Source organism: Homo sapiens, chromosome 4 (genome assembly GCF_000001405.40).
Source record: "Homo sapiens chromosome 4, GRCh38.p14 Primary Assembly".
In the NCBI taxonomy this organism is placed as follows: Eukaryota; Metazoa; Chordata; class Mammalia; order Primates; family Hominidae; genus Homo; species Homo sapiens.
Genome location: NC_000004.12, coordinates 67,194,128 through 67,208,587, shown reverse-complemented (window position 1 = coordinate 67,208,587; position 14,460 = coordinate 67,194,128). Strand labels below are relative to the sequence as shown.

The following is a 14,460-nucleotide window of genomic DNA, read 5'->3' as shown; positions in this document are numbered from 1 at the left end:
AATCCTATTTCTCTCTCTCTTTCACACACACACACACACACACACACACACACACACACACACACACACACAGAGAGAGAGAGAGAGAGACAGAATTAAAGGCAGAGCCAAGCTATTTCTACTACACAATCCTGAGTGATTTATGGGAGTATATTATAATGAGAGATTTTTTCTCACTCAGCAAGGTAAAGGAATTTATGTAGGGTTGGCTTCATATTTGGTATTTAAAAAAATGAGAAAGGATATCACGAATCATTCTATCTTTATTTGAATAGTCATTAAAGATGCTATTTGAAGTGCCTGTCACAACTCCTAGGTGCACAGTGGGCTCGGGGACCATACTTAAACACAATTTCTCTGTAGCTTGTATTGATACTCCATGCTGTTCTGACAGCTGCTGCAGCACCCCCGTCAAATATGTGGTGTTTCATCATTATTTTTGATGCCCTGGGGGTTTTGCTATGATATGCATCACATTTGTCCTGGTAAGCTTGTTTATTACTCATAATCTTCTGCTTCTATTTTAGGTTCATTATAGCTTAGAGGAGTTCTAGAAGTTTCTTGCGTTATTTATAGTATATTTAGATCACCTAAATAGAAAGTAAGAAACATTTTTCTTAGGTTTAGTCTGGAATACAGTGACGCCATGCTATTTGCTTCTTAAAAAGGCCTTTATTTCTTTTAAAAAATTATCATGCAACCACTGGAAAGAGTTCTGCCCCAGAAACAAAATTTAGGGCAACATTTTTATTGTGTTTTAATGAAAATGTTAGGTTCTATGGACAATTTCCTTATGTCCTTAATTCATTCTGGTATTATAACTTAATTGACAGATTTATTGGCAATTCTTAGTAATGTATGTAACTCCACAATACTGTGCATGATTAATTGCACACCATGTACTCACTTTTATCCACCTGGCCATATTCCTAGACAAGTGGCTTCATATTTTTGGATACTATCCTTTGCCTGCTGACTTGGAAAATGGAAGAGATGGAAACGAGCAGAGAGCTTTCTTCTGGGCACCATTTTTATGTTGGCCCTGTCCTTCCACTGCTCTCTGGTCCTGCTAGAAGATCCCACTGGACATACAGATTTGGAAGGGATGTGATACTGCCTTTACTGATTTCTCATGTCATGGAGGTAAGTCAGGGAAGAGGCTTTGGTGCAGAGCAATTTATGGCTTTGAGAACCTGTTACCAAACCATTTGTGAATAATAATAAGACTAACATTAATGATAACAACATTTATTGAATGTTTATTATTACTATGTGCTTTAGACTTGTTTCTTTATTTAATGTACTTACATACACAAAACTTATGACAAGTGTAGTGTCATGATCTTAATTTGCAGACGAGGAAATCCAGGCACTTGCAGTTTAAATGACTTGACCATGGGCACTAATATAGTTTGGCTCTGTGTCCCACGCAAATCTCATCTCAAATTGTGATCCCCACATGTTGAAGGAAGGAAGTGATTGGATCATGGGAGTGGTTCCCCCATTCTGTTCTCTTGATAGTGAGTAAATTCTCACAAGATCTGATGGTTATACAAATGTAGTTTTTCCTGCACTCTCACACACTCGTCTCTCCTCCTGCCTTCTTGTGAAGAAGGTGTCTGCTCCCCCTTTCGCCATGATTGTAAGTTTCCTGAGGCCTCCTCCGCCATGCAGAACTGTGAGTCAATTACACCTCTTTCCTTTCTTTCTTTCTTTTTTTTTTTTTTTTGACGGAGTTTCGCTCTTGTTGCCCAGGCTGGAGAGCAATGGCACGATCTCGGCTCACTGCAACCCCCACCTCCTGGGTTCAAGGGATTCTCCTGCCTCAGCCTCCTGAGCAGCTAGGATTACAGGTGCATGCCACCATGCCCAGCTAATTTTTGTGTTTTTAGTAGAGACGAGATTTCACCATCTTGGCCAGGCTGGTCTTGAACTCCTGACCTCGTGATCCACCCACCTTGGCCTCCCAAAGTGCTGGGATTACAGGCATGAGCACACTGCGCCTGGCCTAAACCTCTTTCCTTATAAATCACCCAGTCTCCAGAAGTTGTTCATAGAAGTGTGAGAACAGGCTAATACAAGTACCATTTAGTAAGTGGCTGCCCAGGGATCTGAACACAAGCAATCAGGGAAAGTGGCAGCAGACCACTACATTCTTCAGTGGCACCCAATTATCCCTTCTCTGCTCCACGTTTTCTGTCTATAGTTTACTAACTCTGTCTTCAACTTGCATTCCATTTTTCTTCTAGTCTTAAGTCCATTTTGTGAGCTGGTTCCTGATTTTTCTGCTTCTCTTGTAGGTATGTTTTTTTCTGCCTCTTCTTATATAGTGTTATATTTCTAGGTTTAGCTTCAGAAGGAGGGACACCATTAATCCATTTAATACCTTTTTTTGAATTAGAAAAGATTTCCTTTCTTAAGTAAATTTTCTTAATATTGTAGAACCTGAAGAATTCTACATGGCAGCCATGCTGGTTGTGTGCACACACCCATGTTTTTGCTCACTCACTTCCCTGCAGCTACATTGTACACACCACTAGCAGTGCACACATTCTTGTTGCCCCAAGCCCCTGCTATCTACATTCCTGCCCCCATATCTAGTTCTTCACATTGGAGGTGAGGAATTGGGCTCTGAGACCTATGGGCAGGTAAAGTCTGGCCAGGGCACAGTTATGGCCATGCGTGCGTGTGTGTGTGTGTGTGTGTGTGTGTGTGCATGTGTAATAAGTACGTGCACATCTTTATGGGTCAATAGGATTATAATAGTAATGTACACAAATTATTGTTTAAATATTCTCATGAGCTTTTTTTTCCTATAATTTTTGTTAATCTAAGGGATGAGATAACTAGTTCTTCCATTTCCTCAAAAAACTACTCAGTAAAACTACAGGATTCAGGCAATAAAAATATATGGATACATTATCAAATAAAAATTTATTTCAGGCCAGGTGCAGTGGCCCACACTTTTAATCCCAGCACTTTGGGAGGCTGAGGCAGACGGATCACTTGAGGTCAGGAGTTCAAGACTAGCCTGTCCAACATGATGAAACCCTATGTCTACTAAAAAGACAAAAAATTAGCTGGGTGTGGTGGCACAAACCTGTAATCCCAGATAGTGGAGAGGCTGAGGCATAAGAATCACTTGAACCTGGGAGGTGGAGGTTGCAGTGAGCCAAGATCGTGCCACTGCACTCCAGCCTGGGCAACAGAGTGAAACTATCTGAAAAAAAAATTATTTCAACTCTCATTCTTTGAGTACTAATCCATCATTTGATACAACATTGTGTTTATGCTCCACTAATAAAAACATCTTATTAGATGGCAAATCTTTAAACTTATTGTATTTTCCTCATGACAGAATATCATTGTGGCTGAATTACAAGTGTTAACTGCAGCTATGACCTCATACCAACCCTCTTTACTGATTGATCTTTTGTCCATGTGTAATAGTTGCTTCATTTACCTTGCTGCCTTGCCCATCACCATTATCCACTGGAGTTCACATTCTATGCGTATTGTAAGCTAAACATTGTTTTTATTATACTTGTTTGGGTTGATAGATCTCTCAGATTCATCCTAGTATTACCTTTGTCTTAACTAGGTGATGTTTCTGTCATCTTTTTATCTTTACCTCCAAATTACCCATTCTAGTTTTTCTCCACAAACTCAAATATGCGTTAATTATCCCTTCAATAAATTCCCAAGGCACTCATGTATAAAACCAAAGCTCACTTTATACCCAGAAGCACATTTAGAATCCAAAGTTACTAAAATAATAAGAAAAAACCCAACTTAATTAAACTGATATTTATTGAGTAATATTTGTAAAGTAGTGGATGAGAATGAATACTGAGAGTAGTAACTGAAGAAGAAATAAAACAGCAGGGGGCTGAGGCCAGATGAGGAAGTGCCAGCTACTGTGGTTAAGCTTTGCAAGAAGACATAAATCATGGAGGTAATCAGATATTCCTGGAAGTGGGGGTGTCACAGGGATTAAGTGATTAAAGGCATTAAGGGATTCTATTCTATGTTGTTAGAACTCACAAAATTAGAACTATACTCTATGTAAAATAATCTCTAGTGTGAAATTTTAAAGGGTTATGAGAGAGGGTTGACTGAGAAAGGGAGATGTAGTGATCACAACAAACTGAGCAGTGGAGTGAATAGAGGCAGAGAAGCTGTGAGGCCCAGCAATTCCATCACTTTGTCAGGTGCAAGTGCTGTTTGGTGACTGGAAGAGTTACCTGATGTAAAGGACATGGATTCTGGAGAAGCAGTCTATCAGACAGCATAGCCTGAAAAGGAGATGGAGGGCTACTAAGCAACTCTGATTTTATATTTTCAAAAGGAGTGTTTTCATTATTAATGTATTTTTCTAGATATCTCTATAAGAGTCATGCTAACAAATGTTTTCAGAACTAATTAAGCCAGGATAACATGACAAATAAGTTTATGTCTATAGAATTGGGGATTGGAGATAGAAGATCACTTTACTCATTCTTACTATCAGAGGAATTGTATAGCGGTATAATCTCTATTCTGATAAAGGTGGTTGACAATTATTGTCACATGTGAAACTGACATGCTCCACCCATAGTTTGCAACTAAAGAATATTTGCCAGTCTAGGGAATTTATACAACAATATGGCTTCAAAACAAGTATGCACATTTTCCCCCTTTAATGGATATGAAAAACTTACTATTTGACATTGCATCTTAATCTTGGTTATAAGATTGTAGCATGAGTAGACTATCAGTTTGACCACGTTTTGTCCTAAGTATTTCAGAAAATACAGAAGTGTAATTTGTGAGAGTTTTCTAAGACTGACTGCAGGCTTTCTACAGAAAAAGAGATGAGATGCTCTCTTTAAGAAGCTTTTTTTTTGAGAAATTGCTACAAAGGAAGAAACATTTCCCCTAACTGATTAGCAAATACCAATTCCTTTGTAAATATACATGCATGTTGACCTTTTAGTCTGTTCTAGAATACAAATTCAGTAGGGCCCTCACACAGTCACTCATGCTGTGAAGTTATTTTGGGGCACTGGATCACAAATGGGGACATCAATCTACCTACTTCATTTCAGGGTCCCTGTCTGGAGCCTTATGTCTGGCTCCTCTATGGTACCAGAACAGAGCTCATGCCAGTCAGCAGCATGGGGTTTAAAGATTTCTTTATATTGGAACTCTGCAAGCTTGAATGAAGAGAAGGTTAGAGTCTTGGACTAACGAAACAAATACTGAGTGGTTTACAAAATCTACCCCCTTTCACTTGAAAATATGCCTGCATTGTTAGACTGTGTGTATATTGATACAGACTTGCATAATACAGCCACTAAGCTAAGAAAACAATAACAAAAATGAACTCCAATTAATTTTTTTCCAAAGAGCAGAAAGACTAATTTTTATTTGTGTGATTTTGAAGGCCTCTCTTAAATATGGCTCCACCAAACAAAACACAAATTGGGAGACTGAATAACATAGCACTTCTATTTAGAAAGGTATTTTCAGATTCCTTGTATCAAATTTTACTCTGTATGTTTAGCAGTTGCAGCATAATTATTGCTTCCATGTACTGACATCCCAGAGTTAGACACTGTGCTGTTGTCTTTATACCCTCAATATATTATATATAATTCTCGCCACAATCCTGCAAATATCTTTTTTTCTCAATTTTAACAGAGGAAACAGAGCCTAGAGAAGTTAAGCATAAATTCCAGATCCAAATTTTGATTTTCCATATACAGTGTAATCTTGAGCGTGTTTTTAAATGTATGTTGCTAGGTTCGTGGCTGAGGTCTGTAAAACAAAGGACAGATTAACAAGAGATAAGCATAACAATTATTCAATATAAGTGTTACAGGACACAGAAGGCTTCAGAAATGAAGACCCAAAGAAACAGGGAAACCTGTGTATTTCTATGCTGTTTGATAAAGTTGATAGTTGTGGAGAAGTATGCGAGGACAAGTATGATCTAATGGTGATAGACTGGGGAAACTTAGCAAAGCCTGTTTGCTCAGATTCTTTTCTGGGTCTCAGTGTCTTCAGAGATAAGAATGTTCTTTTCCTCCATGTATAGGGTCTTATGGGGAAGGTCAGTTAGGTTTTATGGCCTGCTTTATGGGAGAAGTGATGAGGGGAAGGTGAGAGTGACCTTTCTGCTTTTGCTGTTTTCTCAAATACCAAGGTGCCATATTTTGGGGTAGCATGTCCTAAGCCTCATCATTAACCTCTCTGGGACTTAATTTCTTTATTTATAAAATGTGGACAAAAGTATTTTCTACTTTATAGGTTAATTGTGAGGGTTAAATGAGCTAATTTTATGAATAGACAGACATAGAAAAACCATTAAAGTAGTGATTGACACACAGTAAGCATTACAATGTTCATTATTATTATTATTATAACAACACTGTAATTGAGTATGTTGCCTATTTTCTAAACATCTAAGAACTTTTCAAGTTTTAAAATTCTTTGCTTTAGGAACCTGAGACAGTAGAGAATACAATAAAACAAAAAATCCTCACTCTCATAAAGTTTGCGTCTGAACAGGGAGGGAGAGTTAATAAAGAATATAAGTAAAATATGGGGGCTGGGCACGGTGGCTCACACCTGTAATCCCAGCACTTTGGGAGGCCAAGGTCAGCGGATCATGAGGTCAGGAGATCGAGGCCATCCTGGCTAACCTGGTGAAATCCCGTCTCTACTAAAAATACAAAATATTAGCTGGGCGTGGTGGCGGGCACCTGTAGTCCCAGCTACTCGGGAGGCTGAGGCAGGAGAATGGTGTGAACCCAGGAGGCAGAGCTTGCAGTGAGCCAAGATCACGCTACTGCACTCCAGCCTGGGTGACAGTGTGAGACTGCGTCTCAAAAAAAAAAAAAAAAAGAGTATAAGTAAAATATGTAGTGTGCTATATGATGAAAGTGCTACAGAGAAAAGTAAAGCAGGGAAAGAGACCAGAGAGTCAGGGCTGAGTCTTCCATTTTGAAATATGGCAGGCAGGGGAATCCCTCCTGAGAAGAGAATACCTGCACAGACGCGATGAATGAGGAAGTGAAGACATAAGTCATGTTGGTGTCTGGGGGAAGAGCATTCCAGGCCACTAAGGAAGTGAGTGCAAACACTGTTGTGGAAGCACATCTGGCAAGTCTGAGAAGGAATAAGATGCCCAGCAGGGCAGGAGCACAGGGAATTGAGTTTATAGAAGATAAAGTCAGAGAGTTAACAGGCAGCCACACATCCTATAGGGACTTACAGGCCATTATTGTAAAAACCTTGGTTCTTAAAATGAGTGAGATGGTAGATATTGGAGAGTTTTGAGCAGAAGAGTGATATGATCTGACTGGTAAGTTTTCCTAGGATGCCTATTACTGCAATGTTGAGAATTCACAGAAAGAAGCAGGAGGACCACTTAGGAGGCTATTGCAATAATCTCAGCAAAAAAATGGTGGCCTGGGCCAGAAAGGAAGCAGCAGCAGACATGGTGAAACATGATGGGACTCTGGATATATTTTGAAGACAGAATTGGTAGGATTTGTTTTTTAATAAGACAAGATGCACGTGTGTGTGAGAGGCCAAGAAAGAGAGAGGAGTAAAGGGTGACTCCAAGGTTTTCAGTCTAAACAAGTGGAAAAATGAAGCTGTTCTTCACTAAGATAGACTGTTTTAGGTTTAGGGGGCAGGAGGAGTTTGAGAGTTCATTTGGAGAGTTGGGGTATGCTGCCCTTGAGATGCCTTTTAGATGTGCATGTGGAGATGTTGAGTGGGAGTTTGAAGTTGAGAGGCTAGATCCCAGCTGGAAATTAAATCTGAGAGTCATCAGCATAGAGGCACTATTTAAAGCCTTCAATCTGACTGAGATTACCAAAGAAGTGGATGTAGAGAGAAAATAGATGAGGTCCAAGGACTGAGCCCTCGGTTTCTTCTTCATCAAGAGGTTGGTGAACAAAAAAGAAATTAGCACACAGACTAAAAGAAGTACCTGGTGAGTTATGAGAAAGTCAGGTGAGTGTGGAGTTGTAGAAGCCACATCAAGGAGATGTAAAGAATGAAATGTGTCAGATGCTGTTGATAGGTTAAGTAGCAAGAGGATTGAGAATTTTACTATTGAATTAGTAATAATACAGTCAGGTTGACAATGATAAGAGTAAGAGGAATTTCTAGAGTGGTGGAAGCAAAAAAAAAAGAGAGATTCTGGAAAAAGTAACATTGACAATGCAAGAGAGAGGGGAAATCAGCAGGACAAATGCTCTCAAGCAGGCAAGAGATGATGATATCTATTGCAAAGCAGAAGAGTTAACCTTAGCTAGGAACATAGACAGTTAATAGTAATGAGAGAGAAAGAAGAGAAAATAAGCAGAAAATAGATGGGTGTGTATAGTAGTAAAACTTTTGGAAGTCATCTTCGGATTGTTTCGTTTGTCTCAGGGAAAATGAGCAGAAAGTTCAGGGAAGGATGACCAGGAAATCTTGGGTTTCCTGTGATAAAGACATAAACAGTGATAAGAAGCATGATGAAATTTGTCCTGATGGCCCTAAGGCTGGTACAGTCTAGTCAGTATTCAGGCAGGAGGAGAGGATGGCTCTTACCTGGATATGTAAAGATTTGGCACTTTTCATTTGACCCTTAGTAATGGAGGTATAGAGGTCAGAGGAGTAGGCTTACTCCCCGCATCTGGGGATCCCTCTGGACTCTGAAGATGAAAAGCTGGAGAGGAGTAGATGGCGGCTTACTTTGTCAGGATTCCCCTTGGCACTATTAGCAGAGGGAGCTCTTCCCAGTCCTTGGCTTCATAGTTATTCAATACTTGGTCAAGCAAGATCTATAAATTTAAAGGCAAAAGCTATTGATCTGAATAAAACATAGAAGGATTTATATAGTAAAATAATGCTACAATAGTTGATATTGAGTAGTCAGAAGACATAGGGACCAAGGGCTAATAAAGTGTGCAAATCCAGAGTGCTTCTGTTTTGGATTAGTTTCTCATTTGTACTTATTTGATTCATAGCATGAGGTCAGTCCTTTTCCATTTCAATTCAATTTATTTCCATCATTTAAAGATTATCGAATAGGACAGATAATTTTGAAGACTTAGGGAAATTATCCACCATTTATGCGGGGCTGCAAGTTGCCCATTGAACATAGGAAGGATGGATCTTACAAGGTAAACCAGTATTCAGCCAATTAATTATGAAAATGTAACTATAAAACAATCAGATTGATTTGCTGATGCTAAGCCAGTGTCATTATTTTATAGTCAGAGATCTTATATTGTATATTCATTTTATAAAACAGCAAGGCTTGTTGTGGCTCTACATGTGGAAGTGAAAATAACATCATTTGATTTTTAAACAGGCTCATCACTAATGTTCCCAGATAAGTGGTAATAATAATGATAGTAAGCAGTTTTTACATGTGTACTATGTGCCAACTATACTGTCATCATTCTTTAAAATGATTCTGGGATATAGACATTATTATCCTATTTTATAGATAAGAAAACTTAAGATTAGATAGGTTAGTAACTTGTTAAAACTCAAGCAATTATGAAATGATACAGCAGGGACTTAAATCCAACTCTGCTTTCAATGTCTGTGCTATTAACCACCACACTGTGGCGTTGTTTCAACTTCTACCTTGAACTTCTCACTCTAGACAAAGCAGTCCGGACAGCTTTATGAGTAAGCAGGGTAGATGATTACTTATGCACAAAAGATTAAGTCTACTTCCTCTCAGTTCATCATTATAATTTCAGTCTTTTGGGTCATGGTTTTTTAGTCTTTGAGAATCCATTTATGTTTAAAATGCTATTACTTGTGGGAAGGGTCATTCATTTAGCCATCATCAGCTAACATCTTTATTATTAGTCAACTACATTGCATTAATTGCCAGACAGTTTTACTGCCCCAAGAGGGAAACTATTTATCCTGGACAAGACCTGGAGGTTGAAGAGATCAGCAGGAAATGTGCTAAGAGGAAGGAAATGTAGACTGGTAGGGAGATTGTAGGCCAGAAATTTTACCTACTTCACAACTGGACTCAGTCTCCTGTTTCAGGTCAGATTAGATAATTTTACAGCTAGAATGACACTTACAGACCAAGAACTTCAATATTCTCATTTTTAGATTAGAAAATTGAGTCCCAAGATCATGCAGTGGGATAGACAGAGAGATAGGATTACAATTTATAGATCAGATCCCTTCCCATTATAAGACTGCCATATTAGGTTGTTGTCAAGTTATAACCTTTGAACCTTAATGCATTCACTCTCCTTTTCTATTTTAGAGTCTGATCTATGAAACTCTTTTTCCTCCCTTTCCTCATTGCATTCAGGGTTTCTTTGACATAGGACACAGTGAACTGCTCTTTAGTTCTTGTCTTTCCCCAACCCTTTGTGAGGTATCAAATCCAAGTCCACTAATCTATAAATTTTACCTCTAGAGCCATACAAAAGAGAATCAGTTACTATCACACTTATAGGTCTAGAGAAAAGGATGCAAAGCTAAATTGCACAATCTCGTTTGAAACAATTCTAGTTCTATTAGGGATCTTGTCAGCAGTAAAAAAATGCACAAGCAGCAATCCCAGAAATGCTGAGAGGCTATCCAAAACTCACCTTTTTCCAAAATCTTACCTTCTTCTAAAAAGAATTCAAAGTATTCTTTGTTCTCATTTTTGACAAGATTTTGATTTGGGATATGAGTAGAAAACAGTGAATATACAGTAGTAGGTACTAAATATATAATCAGCTTTTGTTTTAGAAGCTACATATGGAAGCTTATGAAATCTTTTAATCAAGTAGTTTTGACTATCCACAACCAAACAGAAATCTCTTAACAGCCCAAATTACCATACATGATTCTATTAATTACCAAACTTAATGTGTTGTGCAAATTCTACCAAATAAGTAATAAAGCTTATCCCATAACCAACCATGATTCAGCTAATCAAGTTTCTAAATCCTGCTTCATTTACTTGGATACTAAAGCAAGACATAAATGAATAGATTTAATGTCCTTCGAGGTTATGTGGAATTTGAAGCTATTGATGGAAATTTACCTATGAGTTAGTCAATAGGTCATTTGTCTGGGAAAGTGGTAGCCAGACAGATAATGAACTTTGCGTCTACATCTGGTTCTCATTTTTGAGTCTAGCTTAAAATCAGAGTCAACAAATTGACCAAAGAGTTTAGTATCTCATTGCCATTTTATATAGGTGGCTGACCTGTGCCAAGAAAGGGAGAGATGAATCTGATGGGGACTACAGAGTTTTTAAATATACTTGCAACTGAATCTAATCTGATTCTTAAAGGCATATTTTGGATCTAGAGCACTGAGAAGAAAGGCTGCCCTAATACCAGTTAAACTCAGATGGTGACAGAAAATGTACTCAAGTAGATTCTGATGTGTTTCCTTTGTCAAACTGAGTTCAATTATGGCTCAAATTAATTTGATAAAAATGCAAAATTTATTTTAAAACTTATTAGAAACAAAGGAGAATATGCCTGTAAACCAACAGGTATTGGTGTATTTCTCAAAGACTTAAAAAAATAACAAACACAACAAGGAGACTGAAGACTTTACATTTTCTTTCCAGTTTGGTCTAACTTTTAGTTGGCATCTTGGATCTATTACTAAATGAGAAAATAAATCTGACCCCCTAGTAGAGTTTACTATTGATAGAGAATGGTATGTCTATAAAAAACTAATATATGTAATATGTAATTAAGAGGTGGTGGCAAGCTGGGTGCGGTGGCTCACGCCTGTAATCCCAGCCCTTTGGGAGGCCGAAGTGGGCGGATCACGAGGTCAGGAGTTCGAGACCAGCTTGGCTAACATTTAGTAACCCCATCTTTACTAAAAATACAAAATATTAGCCGGGTATGGTGATGCGCATCTGTAATCCCTACTACTCAGGAGACTGAAGCAGGAGAATCACTTGAACCCGGGAGGTGGAGGTTGTAGTGAGCCAAGATCAGGCCATTGCTCTCCAACCTGTGTGACAGAGCGAAACTCCATCACAAAAAAAAAGAGGTGGTGGTGTCAGAATCTTGCGGTTTAGATTTATAATGGCGTTCATTATTTTTAAATTTTATCTAGTTTTTTTTTTTGCTACATATCTATATGCATTAAATACAAAATAATGATTTTATTTTTACAAAATGTTTACAATTATATTTGTTGTTCTTGTCAACTGGAGAGTAGGAAACATGGGTACAGTAAGGTGAGTCATTGAGCTCATTAGTACAGTCATGGAGAAGTTCAAACATATTTTTTGTATTAGAATTTTTTCTTTAAATATTAATTATATTTTAATTACCATGCTGAGAGTAAACCAACTTTTCTTTAATTAAAGTCCACTTAGTTTCTAAGACTTCTTCCTTTCTCTATAAAATTGCCAAGTTTATTTAAGAAATTCCCATCAGCTTTTGGATCTCTGGGATATTCTTCAGGTATACAATAATGATTACAAAATAAAGCATAGAAATGATAAATTATTGAGATGAATTAAAAAATAACCTTGACTCTGGTATTTTTAATCCATCTTTAAACCTGAATGCATCTTATGAGACTGATTAAAATAAACACATTTAGAATAGGAGGACGTCTTTAGATTCGGTTAGAACTAGTGAAAGATTTCTGATTTTTTTGGAGACAGAATGTAATTGACTTAAGTGATGGGGAAGTGGTGGTAAAGAGAGGAAGTAAATCTTTGTTCAAAATGATTTTTTTAAATAAAATAAATGTCACCCTTAAGTCTGCTATCAGAGCTGGGAGTGATAGAGGATAACTTTTATGAGTAGCGTATATGGCAGCCATCGGTATTCACAGCCGTAACTTACTGTTTCATGAGGAGCTGACATCTACTACTTAAATAAGAGGTGATATTTCCATTTTGGCTATATTCATTAGAGCTAAATAGGTAGTTATACATCACCAAAAGTTAAGGGGAAATATCCCTATGGGGAAACTGCCAACCTTGTTCTGTTGGTCTATTAGGTCCCTTTCAAAGGTGGGGTGGTATTGCTACTGCCAGTGTGGCAAAATGAGGACACTAAGCAGAGAAACTAGTAAGCCTGTCAGTCTGCCTGTTGAAAATACAGTTTTTTTTTTGTTTTTTTTTTTTGAGATGGTGTTGCGCTCTGTCACCCAGGAGACAGTGCAGTGGCTCACTGCAACCTCTGTTTCCTGGGTTCAAGTGATTCTCCTGCCTCAGCCTCCTGAGTAGCTGGGATTAGATGCACATGCCACCATGCCCTGCTAATCTTTGTATTCTTAGTACAGTCTGGGTTTCATCATGTCGACCAGGTTGGTCTCAAACACCTGACCTCAAGTGATCCATCTGCCTTGGCCTCCCAAAGTGCTGGGATTATGGGCATGAGCCATTGTGCCAGGTAGAAAATACAGTTTTTGATTTTATATTTGTATGCACGAGAATGGATTTTCTGCTGAGAAACCCTTTATATTGTGCCATTGGAAACAGACTCAATGACTTAAATAACATAGAATTTTTGTTTTGTGCAAGTGAAGAAAGGAACCTATATCATTCTGTCTTACCAAGGAAAATGGGGAAAGGTAATATTTCCAATAAACAGAGGACACTAGATAATTTTGGAAATAAGGAGTATATAGGTTAAACTGTTAGAAAAGAGAAAATAATATAAATTAAGAAGTGGACTTTTGATCTTTCAGATAAAATAATATAAAGGGATGGAATTTTGATCTTTCCTGTTTGTTATAAGCCAGGCACTCACTTTTAATTATATGTTTGTTTTTTTTTTTGCCTTTCTCTCCTTCCTTCTTGCCACCTTCTTTCTCTACCTCCTTTCCTTACTCCCATGCTCCCTTCCTCCTTCTCTTCCTTCCTCCCTTCTTTCTTTCCTTCCTTCCTTCCTTTATTTTGTTTTTTTGAAGGTAGGGGTGAAAAAAACATTGGAACATGAGTTGTCAAGAGAAAATAGATAAGAGAGCAGACATAAACTTCCCCTCCCATTTTATTTGACAGAAAAGAATAAAAGATGGTAAAGGAAGGTAATAACTATTGACCCTCAGTATTAACTTTGTTCTCTTGGGTAAGCACATAATTAGGTTGTTCTTTAAAATGCGTATTATGTAGTTGGCAGCAGGCTCTAGCTTCAATCAGATAACTCCTTGTGTAGGCAGCTTTTAAAATGCACATCGTGGACCAAAGGAACTTTTCTGGTCTATTGGGTAAATATGTATTAAAGTAATTTTTAAAATACTTACATACTTAATAGGCTGGAAGTGGTCAATGGTTTAATGAATAGTCATACATTTTAAAAAACATATTATTATTTATGCACTGACCTGAGTGAGAAAGTCTTTTAAAAATGACATATTCCTGTTGACTGTGTAATTTTGCAGTAATATCTTAAAAGTATTTCAGGAGAACAAGAGCCAATTTTAAAATTACATTATCTCATCGTCCCTTCGCCT

The 14,460-nt window shown here is 37.8% G+C and overlaps 2 annotated features.

Moving 5' to 3' along the window:
- Nucleotides 3,820-4,020: a silencer, noted in NCBI's record as "peak5042 fragment used in MPRA reporter construct". NCBI's record gives its function as "represses an SCP1 promoter by STARR-seq MPRAs in K562 erythroleukemia cells {active_cell/tissue: K562}" and the evidence as "EXISTENCE:reporter gene assay evidence [ECO:0000049][PMID:32103011]".
- Nucleotides 5,910-6,110: a silencer, noted in NCBI's record as "peak5041 fragment used in MPRA reporter construct". NCBI's record gives its function as "represses an SCP1 promoter by STARR-seq MPRAs in K562 erythroleukemia cells {active_cell/tissue: K562}" and the evidence as "EXISTENCE:reporter gene assay evidence [ECO:0000049][PMID:32103011]".